This window comes from Homo sapiens, chromosome 2, assembly GCF_000001405.40.
Source record: "Homo sapiens chromosome 2, GRCh38.p14 Primary Assembly".
Classification (NCBI taxonomy): domain Eukaryota; kingdom Metazoa; phylum Chordata; class Mammalia; order Primates; family Hominidae; genus Homo; species Homo sapiens.
In genome coordinates this window covers 69,915,109-69,931,838 of record NC_000002.12, presented here as the reverse complement: position 1 = coordinate 69,931,838, position 16,730 = coordinate 69,915,109, and the positions used below count along the sequence as shown (strand labels likewise).

The window sequence follows — 16,730 nt, the reverse complement described above, 5'->3', positions numbered from 1 at the left end:
TCTGACTCTTCAGAAACATAACTTTAATTATTCTGAATAAGCTGATATACCTTTGGTCTACAGTGGCATAAAGAAACCAATCTTTGAACTATAATAAGTCATGCTCTGAATCAAGTATGGCCCATAACTAGTAATAACAAATTTAGATACAACTATAGATTCTATTCAGTAAGTTTTAAGTATCCCAAATTTTGTTGATTTTTAATTTTTTTAAAAAATTCTGACTCAGTCACTATGCAACCAAATATTAATGCAGTGATTAAGAGTAAATGTCTGGAGAAATGTGGTACATATACATAATGGAGTACTATTCAGCCATAAAAAGAATGGGATCCTGTCATTTGCAACAACATGGATGGAACTGGAGGTCATTAGGTTAAGTGAAATAAGCCAGGCACAGAAAGACAAACGTTGCATATTCTCACTTATTTTTTGGATGTAAAAATCAAAACAATTGAACTCACAGACATAGAGAGTAGGAGGGTTACCAGAGGCTGGGAAAGGTAGCGGGGGTGGGCAGGAGGTGGGGATGGTTAATGGGTTAAAAAAAAAATAGCTTAAAAGAATGGATAACACCTAGTATTTGATAGCACAACAGGGTAACTATAGTCAAAATAATTGTATATTTTTAAATAACTGGAAGAGTAGAACTGGATGGTTTGCAACACAAAGGATAAATGCTTGAGGGGATGAACACCACATTTTACTTGATGTGATTATTATGCATTGCATGCCTGTATCAAACACCTCATGTACCCCATAAATATACAGACCTACTACATACCCACAAAAATTAAAAATGAAGTTAATATTTAAAAAAGAGTAAATGTTTGAGATCCTGGCTCTGCCACTTACTCCCTGTGTGACCCTGGGCAAATTACTTAACTCTGTGTAGCCTCAGTTTCCTCATCAGTAGAATGAGGGTGACAAGCGCCTCCCTGGGAGGGCTGTCATGGGTATTGACTGAGACAAGGTATGGAAGCCCTTGGGTCAGGGTCTGACAGGGAGTACTCTGTATATGGTAGCAGTTATTCTTTCAATCCTAGCTTCCTCTGTAGAAGGAGAATTGCTGTGAGCAAACACAGATAATAAGAGCACTATGATATTCCTTTTACAATCAATAGGGAACTCAAAAATGTCTCACTAGGCAGACAGAGGCTATCTGGCAAAATCCACTTTTCTGAATACTTCCTTGAAGAAAATGGACATCTTTTGTCATTAAAATAATTAATGGAAAATCTAATCCATTTTCTATGGAAACACAGAAAGTGCTTATGCTAAAAGTACTATTTCTTTACATTTACAAAATTAGCAAGGGTTTTATAAGGCCAATGAATGCAAAATAAAAGATTCCTTTATTTCCTGTTCACATCATTGAGAGTCAGGGGTAGAAAGGATTCCAAGGTTGGGAGGGAGGCAGCTGCCTCACTTCTGCTTGCTGCAGGAGCAAGTGTCCTGAAGAGTCTGGGCCTCCCTCCTTGATCTCGACTGCAATGGCCAAAGGAGAATAAAAATAGAGGCAAATATGTATTGACTTGGGAAGTCCAAGCACAGAGATCTTCACATATCTCATGTGCAATAGCAAGAAGAAAGTATAACATATTGAGGAGCAAATTTAAAACAGGTTGGGAAGGATCTATGGGAAGAAAACTATAAAACTTTGTTGAAAGACACAAGAAAATTGAGTAAATGAAAAAAATAGCAGATTCCTGGATATGAATCCTCCAAACAAAAAATGTCAATGTTCCTCAAGTTTGTTTACAAATTTAACACAATTCCAAGAAAAAAACTCCCAACAGTGTTCTTTTTAACACTGGGACTACACTTCATCTAGAAGAATAGATGTGTGTGACACTGCCAAAATTTTTGAATAAGAAGAATAATGAGGAGGAATGTGCTGTACCAGATATTAAATTGTATTATAAAGCTTCAATAATTAAAAACAGTGTAGTACTAATACAGGAATAGGCAGACAAATCAAATGAATAGGATAGAAATCCCCAGAAACAGACCTAAGAATAGATAGGAATTTAGCACATAAAGGAGATAACACCATAAATCCTTAGGGAAAGAATGGATTATTCAGAAAATGGCAAGAGAGTGAGGAGGTTAACATCAAAATAAATTCCAAACAGATTAAAGATTTAAATATAAAATATATTCAGATACCACGTATTTCTGCTGTTAGTTTTCCTTAACTTCTTGCCAGCCATGAATTACGGAAAGTAAATATCCAAGTAAAGGAAGTTATTAATGAAGAAGGTGCCAAGCTGTTTGAGGCACCAGCTCCTACCAGAGCTTTGGCACTGATAGAAAGCACCTGGGCTAACTCAGACAATTCTGACTGTAGCTCTTCTTATTTCTGCCTCCAGACCATGCTTTCTTGATTCTATCTATGGATCTCTCTCAGGCTAGTAGATCTGCAAATTGGGGAATAGATTCAACAGAGTAGGATTATTAGGTAGATGGTGCTATCTGTAGATAGTGCCTCCTGCATTAAATATACTATCCTTAAAGTTCTTCCTGACTTGGATGTAATCAAGACCAGAAGTGGTACCAAATGAAGGGTGTGTGGGTATGTGTGTGTGTTTGAAGGAAGCACTGTTATCTGTGATTAGTTCTCTTTATTGAAAGTGTAACAGGCTGGGCCGGGCGCAGTGGCTCACGCCTGTAATCCCAGCACTTTCGGAGGCCGAGGAGGGTGGATCACTTGAGGCCAGGAGTTTGAGACCAGCCTAGGCAACATGGCGAAACCCATCTCTACTAACAATACAAAAATTAGCCAGGTGCGGTGGCACACATCTGTAATCCCAGCTACTCAGGAGGTTGAGGCACAAGAATCGCTTGAACCTGGGAGGCAGAGGTTGCAGTGAGCCAAGATTGTGCCACTGTACTCCAGCCTGGGTGACAGAGCAAGACTCCATCTCAAAAAAAGAGAGAGAACTATTATGTTATGTTCTGCTGCTTTCTTAGGTCCCAGGCTATATTTTCTTTCTTTTTTTGTCTGCATTGTCAACCAGGCTGGAGTGTAGTGGTGCCATCACAGTTTACTGTAGCATCAACTTCGCAGACTCAATCAATCCTCCCACCTCAGCCTCCTGAGTAGGTGGGACTACAGGTTTTTTTTTTTTTTTTGGTACAGATGGGTCTCACTATGTTGCCCAGGCTGGTCTTGAATTCCTGGGCTCAACTGATCCTCCCACCTCGGCCTCCTAAAGTGCTGGGATTACAGTTGTGAGCCAGTGCCCCCAGCAAGTCTTGGGATACAATATTGAGTAAGATCAAGTCCCTACCTTTGAGGTAATTAAAATTTAGTTGGAGTGCTCAAACGTGTAGATGAATTATTGCAGAATGATTTGTAGGAGCTATATTCAAACCCTGATAGATATCAGCTCTCACCTAAAGTTATAGAATGGGCTCTCCTTTGCTCTTACCAAACATATTCTTTCTTTTCCCTCACCCTCAAACATCCCATCTGACTTAACTTCCTTCCAAGTTTTCACAGCCTATCATAACCTTCTTTTCCTTTCCAAATAGATCACCCTCAACAGGGTAGCCTGTTTAACTCTGAGGTTTCACCATTTTATCACCTATCTTGGTGTGGGCCAGACTTACCCAATTAAATAGCATCTTAAATCCTATAAGATAATTGGAGTTTGAACAAAAATAATTTTAGATATGGGTATGTATGAGCTGTATAATAAGGAAAAGAAGGTATTTAGTATAGAGTAAGAAGGAACAAGTTTTATTAATGGGACTTGTAAAATTAATCCCTTAAAATGTCAAGGGTCACAGGAGATTCTGCATTGAGAACAAAGCCCTACTGGGTTAAACAGAAAAAAAAAAAATCCAGGTGAAGACTACAAGTCACACTTTGAAGAGGGAAAAAATACTTTCCTCCTTTTTCTAAAATGATCCCTTTATAAACAATTGCCAAGTGCATCATTATTACCAACTTAATTGGAACCCTAAAAGGTTTTGAAGATTTCTCACAATTGTGCTGATAAATCTTTGTAGAAAATACAAAGATAGTAATATACTCAGTGAATAATACATAAATAGCAGTTAACAGTGGCTACATTTTGGAGAGATAAGGTCACTTCATTATTAAAGTATGAAATACATAAGTACACCACATTAATATCTCCTTTTCAGAGCCTAATTTTCAAATACAACATATATATTATAATCATACCTGTTGGCTCTATCCCACTATTTGACTATTAATGCCTATGACAAAAAGTAAGGGAATAGCCCCAGGGTCCCAGGTAGGAGACTGGAAATTGGTCAAATGACCAGCATGTGTCTCTCCTCCAAGTCTTGCCAAAGGCAGGTGTCATCTACTCAAGGGTTATAGTACAAGGAAGATGATTCTTGTGGTACAAATGTGAGTTCTTCTCCAGACCATCAATATAGATTGGATTTATACACTGATCGCTGTGTCTCTCCTTCGTAATAACCTTACCCCATGTTGCAACAAACATGGACTTGTTACAACATCCCAGAGTGAAATCTGAATGTGGTCAAGAAAGTTCAGAAACAATAAGAGTGATGCAATGCATACCACAACTCAGGCCCAGTGCAAAAGTCAGGCCCCAGCCCTTCCCATATAAGGGACTTGGTCATTTGAAAAATCAAAACCCAAAAGGAACAACTATAGGGACCTGTAATCAATTAGAATATTCTTCCAGAAGAGACCTGACTGAATTGATTTCTCATGCCAGACCAGATGCCACTGAAATACTGTTTGACCAAATGGAAATAACAGCTTAGATTGGGCTGCAGAGTCTTCCCCATGGAGCACACACAGAAATCTTCTGTCACAGGGTCAGAAGACTCTGGCAGAGGTAGTAGCTCTAGACCAGGCACCTAATTCTAGCAAGAGCTGCATATGTACCACTCCAGAAAAATGGATGTCTACTATTAAAGGAGACGCCAGAGCCATCTTTTGAAAAAAGAGTCTATTCTACCACCTGGCTCCTGACCTATTGGCTGTAGCTTATATGTGTTTGCTCAGTCTCCATTTGCTGAGGGATTCATTGAAAGGCTTTGTTTTAAATTGGAGGAATTCTCAGTTAAGAGAAAGAAATAGCAGAATTATCATCAATAAAGGGTATGTAACAACAAAAGATTCAAATATGTTTATATTCCAACAATAATCAATTAGTTAACTAAGATGGGAAACCAATAGCAATCTAAAAATATATAAATCCAGGAATACCTTTTACAGGACATGTATAAGACCTGTGTGGAAAACTTTGCTACAAAACTTTGCTTAGAGACAGAAGAGAAATCTGAATAAATTAAGGCACATACCAAATCCTGGATGAAAAGATCTAATATATAAGCATGAACTTTTAAAGGTTAATTTATATTGGAATTATGCAATGTCAATTTTTAAACTCCCCAAAGAATTTAGGGGTTGGGGAATTCACAGATTAAAATTTTTTTCAGGAAAAATAAACTGGTGAAAATAGATAAGGGCATGGAAAAAAAAAAAGGAGAATGAAAGGGTATATATTGGCACAGGAAGAAGAGATGGATCAATGGACTGGAAGAATAAGTCTAGAAAGAGACTTAGCCATAAACAAAAATAAGTATACACCAAAGGTAGCAACTTGAATCAGTGAGGGAAGACTGATTCTGTATAGCTAAATGATAAACTGGACAGTTATGTGATAGAAAAAGTGTCAATATCTTTCATATATGTCCTTTATATTATGGAAACTTTTTAAAATAAAGAAAAAGATAAATTCTTTAGTAGAAAATTGGGCAAAGGCTATTTAATAGACAATTCACACAAAGAGACACACAGAGTCAAAGACATAAAAATTGTTCAACTATGCTAGTAGTATGAGAAATGCAAATTAAAACAAGTTGCCTGTGTGTTTTTTTATTTTTTACTTATCAAACTCATAAAGGTTTTAAGTTATAACATCAACTTGTGAAGTGCAGGGAAAATAATGCCTGTAACCTGCCTGGTGGACAATCCAGCAATCCTAAAAACGTGTTCACCACCAATTCCATAGCTATACATTTATCCTAAGGAAATAATTATGATGTTGGACAGAGATTTTTCTACAGGTGGTTTAAGAAAGCATTGTTTAGGTTCTGGGAAGAATCTAAACCAGGGGACTGATTATATGAGGTTTAACATATTCATATAATATAATACTGGGCATTAAGTAATGTTGAAAAAGGAGATTTAATGACATTGGAAAATGTTTATAACTGGAAAAGATGCTACAAATTATTACTATATGATCCCATGTTGGTTAAAAAAAAGTACACACAAAAGTCTAGATGGATATAGAACAAATGTTAGCAGGTGTTACCTCTGAGAGGCCTATTACAGGTGATTTTTATATTCTTTGTGCTTTTCTGAATTTTCTAACTTTCTACACAAAACTATATTTTCAGTTCTTTTCCAAAACAATTGGAAAGATATATTTTCAAGTTCCATTGGTTTTCTCTGAGTGCTAGAACTATGGACAATTTAAATTTTTAGTATTATTTTCTATATTTCTCAAAATTTTCTGCAAGATTAGTTTAAAAAAAGAAAAGAAAAACCACACACACACACACACACATACCCCACCCTCCCAAGGGTGTTTTCTTAGGAGATCAGACCCAGAAAATTAGCTAAAATGCAGAGAAACACAGGCCATGTGCTGACTGACAAACCCCCTGTAGAGTGATATTAATCTGAGCTCCTCCACAGCAGTGCGTAGTCTTTACTGGATTCTGTAGTCCCAGCACCTACTACACGGCATCTTAGGTGCTCAACACCTATTCTGTTGAGTAGAAAATACTACCACCACCACCATTCTAGAAGTCTTTTCTTTTATTGTCCCACCAATGCGAAGATACTTCAAAGTGTTGGTGTTGGGTATAATATCCTTACAGTGGAGTCCTGATAACATAGAGTAACACTAATTATTTACAATCTCTAAAGTGCCATAGAAAAGGTTTCCATTCAAGAAAACTAACCCAAGTATAATCAACTCTGCAATATCAAGAAAAGGGAAAATCCCACTGTTAGAAGTTCTTTTCCTAAGTTGTCTTTTCTTCTTCTTCCTTTTTTTTTTGAGAGCCATGGCAATCTTTTTACACTTGATTTTAGCCAAAAGGCCAAGAAGCAATGAAAGCCATGATAATCTTTTTATGCAATGTTATCAGGTAAAAAATGGCTAAAGTATATTAGCATTTACCCGAGTGGTATTCTTTTATAGAACTCAGCTACTAAAACCAGGGAGAGTACAAAAACAGCTGTTCAGCTGACCTCCAAACCCTGAAGTTCTTAAGCATCCATGCTAATAAGAGAGTGGAGCCCAGCAACTTTAACCTCCCCTGAACTGCAGCAACCAATGCTTGCTTAAATTAAGTAAACTGAGTCCTGATTTTCCTTCTGTTCTGTTCACATGCTCTAGACTAGAAAGATTATCAAGACCTTAAAAGACCAAATTCCAAAAAAGAAAAGAAGGAAACTAGATAACTAATCCTTCAACAAGCAAAGGTTGATTGGTCATATACAAGCAAGCTCAATTACAGGCAGCTTGCCTAGTGGTGACTTCACGTTCAGTTTTCCAGAATTTTTACCTCTAGCTTCTTGTGCACATCCCAATCTTAGCACTTAGTATATTAACTGAAACTGTCTCTGCATCTTTCCCATTGGACAAACTGCACATTTTTCTGGGATGGGGACCTTGCTGATTTAATACCCTACTATGAACGCATTTAATACCCAGTAACATGTACAAGTTCTGGGGCCACCATAGACAGAAAATAAACATCCCTGAGGTGCTATAATAAATAATACAATTGACATTCTGTGGCATTCCTGCAGAGGCAAAAGTCACAAAGTTTTAGTAAGTCTTTATGTGAAGCGATCAAATTTTAATAATAATAAAAATAAATACCAAACTAAAGTATTAGAGGGGCGAAGAACTAGAAGACTTTTCAGCAGAAATAGTCCCGGTTTACCCACATCACTGCAAAGGCAGGAAGAAGGGAGAGAATCTGAAGAGAAAATCTAAAAATGAGAAAGAGAAGCCACAACTGACTACCTTTCCCCTTTAAGAAGAGATACTTTTGAGTTTCTAGTTCATGATATGTAAATAGCTAAAGCATAAAGGAAGCTCCAACTTAAAACATGGTCAGTCACAATCATAGAACAATTAAAAGGGAAGACGATGGGATGAGCAGAAGCATATATGCAGTGAGGCACACTCAGCATCACACACACACACACACACACGAAATTCCATAGTGGAGTAAAGCTAACCGCCCTCTTCCCAGATTCTACCTGCCTGGGAAGGGTTTAGTCTGCCCTTTCACTGATTAAACATAAATATCATTCAGATCCTGACTTTCAGAGTCAGGCTCCTTTTTCAAAGAGGGTTGGCAGGAAATAACCACATGTCTTTATAGAGCCATCATTACACATCCTTTTCTTGTTCATGCAGGGCACTGAGAAAGCACTCAATTTGGATGGGTAGCCCGCATTTCAAATTGATGGGAGCTCAGAGACCAGAATGAGGCTAGTTCAATGGTTCTCCGCCATGGCTGCACATGAGAATCACCTGGGGAGCTTTTGAAACATACGAGTGCAGAGCCTCAACCCAAACCAATTAAATCAGAATTGCTAAGGGTAAGGTCTGGGCATTATTTTGTTTGTTTGTTTGTTGGCTTTTAAAAGCTCCACAAAAAGTTATCATTAATTTTTTTCAGTATGGTAAAAGCAAGTGGTTTTTTTTTTGTTGTTGTTTTGGGTGTTTTGTGTGTTTTTTTTTTTTTTTGGTGTTTACTAGAGATACAAGAAAATTTGCTTTAAAATACTTCATGGGAATAGGTGGTTTTGCTTACAGAAGACTGGCAAAATGTTGATAATTACTGAAGCTGGGTAATGGATACATAGGAGTTGATTACATTAGTCACTCTACTTTTTTTTTTTTTTTTTGAGACGGAGTCTCACTCTGTTGCCCAAGCCGGAGTGCAGTGGCGGGATCTCGGCTCACCGCAACCTCCGCCTCTAGGGTTCAAGCGATTCTCCTGCCTCAGCCTCCCAAGTAGCTGGGATTACAGGCACGTGCCACCACACCTGGCTAATTTTTGTATTATTAGTTGAAACAGGGTTTTGCCATGTTGGCCAGGCTGGTCTCGAACTCCTGACCTCAGGTGATCCACCCACTTTGGCCTCCCAAAGTGCTGGGATTACAGGTATGAGCCACTGTACCTGGCCAGATTTGAAATTTTCTATAATAAAAAGTTATTTTATAGAATCAGCAGAAATAAACCTTTGTTCTCTACCCTCACCAGAAAAATATACAAGTGTATGTGTATAATGTATTTAATATAAAAATATGTTTAAAAATACACAGAAAGCTTTGCAAGTGATTCTAATGTGCAACCAGAGTTGAAAACCACTCGGCTGCCTCACTGAAGGAGGGGCAACTTGATTTGGAAAATAAAGATTTAAGTAAGCAGCAAGAGGCAATCCAGGTGAGAGAGATTCCACTCAGGCTGCGGCAAGATGGAGCCCAGTGAGGGTGGCAGTCCTCCTCTAGTTAGGCACCATCTCCAATTTCTGCCATGCATACATTTGCCTGAATTTTGAGACTCTTCATTCACAAGTAAACTGCAAATACACATACATACACGTTAATACACATGTGTTAATATATACTTACATGTATATTATGTGTATATATATCTGTGTATATGTATTTTAGATAACACTGCCAATGATATTCAGTAGCATGTAATTTTTTTAAAAACACTATTTGTGGAAATGTTGCCTCTGACTAAAATGCTTTGGTCTGTGGAATAGTCATTCAAAGGCCTTCTTCAGGAGTGGGCTGGTGCGGGTGAGGGTTAGGGGTGTGGTCTTTTAACTGGCAAGCTCTACATCTACCTAAGTAATTTATGAGCGATGCTGCTTAGAGGGCGCTGGGTGAATTCTGAAATCAGGTGCTACTAGTGGGAAGAGTCAAAAAGAGCAACCAAGTTTGAACTGCATGAACAGAGAATGCAACAAAGCTCCCCGCATTCCACCTCCCAAATCCCCAACTCACCTATTCTTCTCCATTTCATTGTGAGTTGATCTGAAAGAGGGAACAATAAGAGAAGAATAAGATATTTTTGTCTTAAAGAACTACTTCAACACCAACACAATTCTTTTAACTTCTTTCTCTCCAAAGTTGATAGGAGAGATGTAGAAAGGCAGAAAAATTCACTGGGCTCTACTAAAAAAATTAGTCCATTTGAAGAGTTAGATAAATGTAAATCCTAAAATAGAGTTCAAGGTAAAGCGACAAACCAAGAAGCATGCCTTCTCTAGTGGAAAAATAATCCATTTTAAGACAAGAAATAAAAGGGGTCTATTTATACAAAAACAGCTGCACGATGCAATGTGAATTTGCGTTATATAATACGACAAAGCTTTCTGTAGGCTAAGGGTAGAACAGGGGAGGTAGCACCCCTACCCCACCCCTGCAGTTTTCCCTAGGGGTAGCATACACCAAAATTTTGTGTAAAGTTGCTTGACTATATTGTTTTAAATAGTAAAATAACCCCCTTCCCCAAACTTCTGACTCCCTGAAGTAACTATCATGTACAAGATGCTACTGTTAAATAGCAACCAAATGATTTTAGGAAGGGGTTTCCAAAGTTCAGCTCAATATAAAGATGATAGGTTGCTTAAAGCAGAAGTTAGTGAAATGTGAAGTCCAGCTTTGCCACTGATATACTGTGGAATGAATAAAATTCTTTACCATCCTGTTACTGGTTAACCTGTCTATAAAATGAGAATAAAAATAATTACGAATTATTTACTGAACAAGTATGGACCAATGAGGTAACAGCTGTAAAACTGATTAGAGAGCCTTGGATGAAAGGTGTGATGGATATGAAACCATATGATTAGTGTATTTATGGCTGACCTTAAAGACAAGGTCTGGCCTAAGACTTTATGGACAAGTTACCATAAAGTCATAAGAAGTCAATGTGGCCCCTTTAGTGTCCTCCTCACACAACCCCTTCCTAACCAGTTATAAATTTGGAAGAAGCTACCAGTATTATAAAGGAGCTGAATCTTGCTTGACCTTTCTATGAAAATTCTCTAGAATTTAACCAGCTCAGGAGTTTACTCCCTGGTTCAGCTCATGAATTCTGTGGGGCCATAATCAGCACCTTACTGGGCTTAGGAAATAAATTCTCACAGCAATCATGGAGGAATACCACCTCAAGAGTGCTCAGCCACTCATTTACATCAGGGGCACCAACATCAAGTTCACTCATCAGAGAATGGGGGTAAGGAGAGTGAATGTGGGGGGATGGCAGCGGAAGTGAGGAGGTTGTCTTGAAATGAGAAATTTCCAACCTAGCATTAAACTTCTCTTTCACAGGGATCTTAGGAATCAATTTTTATTCACGAAGAAAAAATAAATGAGAAAATGACAGTATTTTAAGTTTAGAATATTTGTTTTCTAGGTAAACAATATATGGACCTCATGTATTCAAACCAATCCAAAATTGGTTAACTTAAAAGTTTCAGGCTAGGCGCAGTGGTTCACATCTGTAAGCCCAACACTTTGGGAGGCCGAGGCAGGCGGATCATGAGGTCAGGAAATTGAGACCATCCTGGCCAACATGGTGAAACCCTGTCTCTACTAAAATACAAAAATTAGCCGGGCGTGGTGGCGCGTGCCTGTAATCCCAGCTACTCCCTTGAACGAGGGAGTTGGAGGTTGCAGTGAGCTGAGATCGTGCCACTGCACTCCAGCCTAGCGACAGAGGGAGACTCCATCTCAAAAACAAAACAAAACAAAACAAAACAAAACAAAACAAAACAAAACTTTAAAATGGTCAGGCATGGTGGCTCAGACCTGTAATCTCAGCACTTTGGGAGGCTGAGGCAGGAGAATTGCTTGAGCTCAGGAGTTGGAGACCAGTGTGGGCAACACAGCAAGAGCCCATCTCAATTAAAAAGAAATAAAAGCTTTACACTGATTCACTTGGTTATCCCTCAGCATTCTCCAGTCACATTGTTCTGAAGGTTTATTGCCTTCAATGGCCAACAGGATACTATAGTTAACAAGAATCTGGCATATACTGCAAACCTTTGGCTCTAAAGCACGTGGCATTTTAACTTTAACCGGGACTAGTAAGTTCAAAGCCTGACAGATTTTTTTAAATGGATGAAAGTAGATGGGCATAGTGGGATCCCAGCACTTTGGGAGGCTGAGGTGGGTGGATCACTTGAGGTCAGGAGTTCGAGACCAGCCTGGCTAACCTGGCGAAACCCCGTCTTTACTAAAAATACAAAAATTAGCCAGGCATGGTCACATACGCCTGTAATCCCAGCTACTCGGGAGGCTGAGGCAGGAGAATCACTTGAACCCAGGAGGTAGAGGTTGTAGTAAGTCGAGATGGTGCCACTGCATTCTAGCTTAGGCAACAGAGCGAGACTGTCTAAAAATAAATAAATAAATAAAATAAAATGGATGAAAGTATATGCCAACAGTTGGTTGAGATTACCCTCTTTAACTGTAGACAAGGACCACCCCTTGTAGGTGGAGGAGAGGAAAGTGAATAGGTTGAGAAGAGAGTAGAAAATAACAGCACACAGGAAATTCTTACCAAAATATTTCTGGATTCTTTGAAAATATATAAACTAATAAATAGAGTTATATACTTATGCAAAATTCTGAATCCCCAAAATAAACTTTTAAACAAACTCCATAGGAAGCACAACTTCTTCCAAAATTTGAACAAAATTTTTAAAACTACAGATTTTATTTGATTACTCGAGTGTTAAACACATGGTGCTTTTTAAAGGGGGACTTGTACTTAATGGCTAGAGCATTACTGAAGTGCATCTAGTTTACTGAAACTGAGTTATTAATAAAAAGCAGCCCTTTCAAAAATGATCAGTTCCGAGACTGCCAGCCACCTCCATTGATGGGTAAACATTTACGTTTTTAATTAAAGCACTGTAAGAACACACTGATACCTTGTGTCAAAACTATTTTCCATGTGATTATGGAAAACAATGGATAACTCTGGAATCACTGATAAAGGTCAAATTTCACCATTTAAAAATACACTCTAATAAAAAAAAACTAAGCCAAATTACGGCGTATCTGAGATAACCAGGAAAAATTCTTGGGTTCAAAAACACTCCTCATGTCAGGTCACTCTAGCCACTGTCTTATAAAACAACTGGGTGGCAAGTCCTGAACTTCCTCTTTCACGTGAGTGCCAAAGCTTGCTTTACTCATTGAACAAAACACACTTTTAAGAAGTTCTAGATTTCAATTCTAAATAATTAGTAATTGACTTCAAAAATCAGTAGGAAAGAAACTTCCATCTTCCCATATTCCAGCAGTTCTATGGATAATTTCAAAAACAATTGATATTCACAATTTCATTTTCATTTTTGTTGTTTTAATAAGCAACTAGAGAAACGTGAATAAGATCTGCATTTTCAGTTCCCAAGAAGTTTCCTATGTGGCAAAATCTTATCTTTTATTGTCCAAGGAAAAGTACTTCCCTAGACTCTACAAGCAAAAAGCACAGCATTTCAACCTGTAAGAACAAGAATAAACTGTTATCCAAGGGTTATGTAAACCAGCAGTAATCTCTCCCTATCCTTTACCTCAGTTCAAAATTCTGACCATACATGGCTGAGGATATAAAGCCGATTCAAACCATGGGGTCAAGCTGCTTTCTCCATTATGATTGCTTGTTCCTCAGAAAAGGAGCTATTCCAAATGAGTCATGAAGGAAATGATCACACTGAAAGAAAACTGCCTGCTCTTGCCTCACACGTTTGGCTGGTGCTACCTCTAGGTTTAATCATGGTCTCTCAGAAATCCTTACACCACTGAATATATTACACTAACTCACTATCAGTCAGGTGTATGGACAACTGTGATAATCCCGTCTCTAACCATGGAAAGCAAACCAACCCATTAACAGAAGGATTTGTAGCCTTTATTTTTTTTTTTTTGGCATAGTACTGATTATTAAAGAGAAGATACTAGAAAGAATCCATTTCTTGGCTTAAGATTCTTAACTACTATTATTTTTCTTTCCTAATCACCTTTTGGGACCAAGCCACTTCAACATCTCATTTTCTTATCCCCACTAGTGAACATCCCCTACAACCTTCCTGTGAAACTAAGGAAAAAAACAAAGTGTTAAGGTATTAAGCCTCAATAAGTAACTTGGACAATTCCTCTCAAATCATTAGTGGACAATAATAAAAGCAAAAATGGATGATGCTTTTCCAGAAAAATTAACTGAAAGGCCTCAAAATTCTTCTAAACAAAATTAAAAAAATATTGTAACAAAATGCAACACAGCTTAATTGGTTTTACACCATTGCATATTACAAGTCAGTATTAACATCTTTCTTAAAGTGCCTTCATACCCATGCACAAAACTACTGGCTACCACCTTCAGGTAATGCTAAGGTGGGAGGACAAGCAAAACCTACCAGGTAATTACCAGGTTGATCCTTCAAGTGCCATTTTTATTCAAGGGCATGGCACAAGTAATGCTGCTCACATCCTGTGGTTCCACTAACGATACTAAAGAGGTAAACCAAGTACAGAAGACGCAGCAAGAACAAGTGATTTTTAGGTTTAAGTGGGAAATTCCTGGTCTGTATTAAGCCACAGAGGATATCCAAATAGATACTTGCAAGGAGTTATTCATGAGGGTGAGGGAGGGATAAGGATTCTAAACTAGTGACGAAAAGGTCAATGCTTTTAATTTACTGGCAGGAAAGGTATAGTTGAAGGGATCTAATAGAACAAATTTCCTAGCCAACTATATTTTAAGGGCAAAGAAGGGGGGAAACGGGCAGCAACATTGATGGACTATTTGCATGTACCAGAAACTATGCATAGGACTTTAATATGTGATTTAACTGACCATGAACCAAATCTCCAGTGAGATTCACAGCTTTTAAGAACTACGGTATAAGATAATCGATAAGGCTAACATGGAAAAGTTGTAGCATATTAATATTTTGGTATTATATATTCCTCTATCACTAAAGAGGTAGGTTTTAACCTCAATCATTCCTCTTTGCCATTACAAATAGAGATGACAAATTAGAGTATCAAACAAACCACTGTATTTAATTTACATGTCAAGTATGAGATCCTATCACTTATGCCAAGTCAGGTACTTTAATGTGTTTATAAAATCATTACTATGAAAAGTAAAAGAAATGGATAATGTCCAGCATTTTGACTTATAGAAAACTTGCCCTGAATCTGCAACTTCTGAAGGGAAAATACTGTCACCATTGCTAATCTCACTTGAAGCTTCCACAGATTTTTTTGTTCCAAAAGGGAAGAAAAGTGAAATTAAATTTTGAATAAAGTTCATAAAGAAATGTAAAACATTTCTATTTTTCTTTTCAGTTCCCTCAACCCAAACAGAAACAGCTTCCTGCAATGGCTTAAGTCCATGTGTACATTACTGAATCATGACGGCCACAATGTAATTTTATAGGGTTATAATCACAACAGAAAACTTACATTCAGCAGTTTGTGTCACCTACAATATAATCTAAAAGACAGAAAGAAGTATTTACCAAATTACCTGCTACTGCTGTTATTCTTTTTGGATTTGTTCCTCCGTTTTAAGGCATCTCTGTCCTTGTTATTGTATGGTAACATGGAGGCATAACCATGTTCAGCTTCTAGAAAACAGGAGGATCCAGTTAATGAATGGGCCCAGAATATTTAATGCTCTCTCCTCTCTACAGTATTTCCTTTTTCCTTTATTTATCTTTAAAAGAATATTGTGGAAATAATTAAATGGAGTAAGGTGGAATTCTGAGAACAATGATTTAAAAAAAAATTGTGTGAATATCGTCAATTCGGAGCAGGTGTAAGGAGGATTCCAGCTGCTCATTGTTGAGAAAGACACAGTAGTGGCTAGGCTCACGCAGCCTGGGTTTCCCACTGGCTACATCCAGCAGGTTGGTGCGGGTTAAGTGGAACCAGCTCAGGCGAAGGTGCGGGGCAAGCACCGTGAGCCGGGGACCGGGAGGCGCTGCTCCTCTGCCCAGGAGACTGGGGCGCCGGGCCCACCTGGGGGCCGGCCGGGACCAGCCCGGGTGAGGTAAACCAGGGAGGCTATCGGAGGGGGCCCCGGCCACCCACTCGTGAAGGGCTGGGGAAGGGGCGGCGTTCGGGACCCCGGCGGGCGGCAGCCCCTTCTCCACCCCATTCATTGCTTTGGGGCAGCGGCGGCTTCCCTTCGGACCGCGCGTGGGGAGAGCCAGAGGGGTTGGGAGCGCTCGCGGTCTCCCCGCCTCCAACCACCCCCGGAGCGGCTGGGCGCCCGGACCTGAGGCCGGCCCCACAGGACCCCCGGCCTCGTTTCGAGTGGACCCCTCCCCGTCCCCGTGCACCTCTCTCCCGCCGCTCCAGATAGTCGGCCGCCTCCAGCAGCATCTGGATGTTCATCCGAACCGCCGCCGCCATTCTGCACCGGGGGCCGGAGCCACGGGACCAACCCCCACTGCCCACGGGCTCGCTGCCGCCGCCGGACCGCTGTGGAGCCCGCTATGGAGCCCGCTGTGGAGCCCGCTGTGGACCCCGCGGAGCAGGGCTGAGGGAGCCTCTCTGGCAACCACGCTCGACAAGAGAGGGAGGGGGCCAGTGAGCTGGGCACCGCCGACACAGTGACAGAACCCGGAGCAGAGC

General features: G+C 39.3%; 1 protein-coding gene across 3 annotated transcripts in view, besides 2 other annotated features; it reads right to left on the bottom strand.

Moving 5' to 3' along the window:
- The window catches only part of MXD1 (MAX dimerization protein 1), a 27,837-nt gene extending 11,107 nt beyond the window's left edge, over positions 1 to 16,730 (bottom strand). For 2 of the 3 annotated variants that reach the window (NM_002357.4, NM_001202513.2), the window contains exons 1-3: positions 16,436 to 16,730; positions 15,619 to 15,718; positions 10,074 to 10,103 (exon numbers count right to left, since the gene is read on the bottom strand). In NM_002357.4, coding sequence (NP_002348.1) covers positions 10,074 to 10,103; positions 15,619 to 15,718; positions 16,436 to 16,508 — 203 coding nt within the window. In that variant the 5' untranslated portion in view covers positions 16,509 to 16,730. The remainder of the gene's footprint in view (positions 1 to 10,073; positions 10,104 to 15,618; positions 15,719 to 16,435) is intronic. The other variant, NM_001202514.2, reaches the window with a different exon arrangement.
- Positions 4,408 to 4,702: an enhancer, noted in NCBI's record as "tiled region #10436; K562 Activating non-DNase unmatched - State 17:Gen3'". NCBI's record gives its function as "activates a minimal TATA promoter and a strong SV40 promoter by Sharpr-MPRA in K562 cells {active_cell/tissue: K562}" and the evidence as "EXISTENCE:reporter gene assay evidence [ECO:0000049][PMID:27701403]".
- Positions 16,127 to 16,356: a silencer, noted in NCBI's record as "silent region_11602". NCBI's record gives its function as "represses an Ori minimal core promoter by ATAC-STARR-seq in GM12878 lymphoblastoid cells {active_cell/tissue: GM12878}" and the evidence as "EXISTENCE:reporter gene assay evidence [ECO:0000049][PMID:35858748]".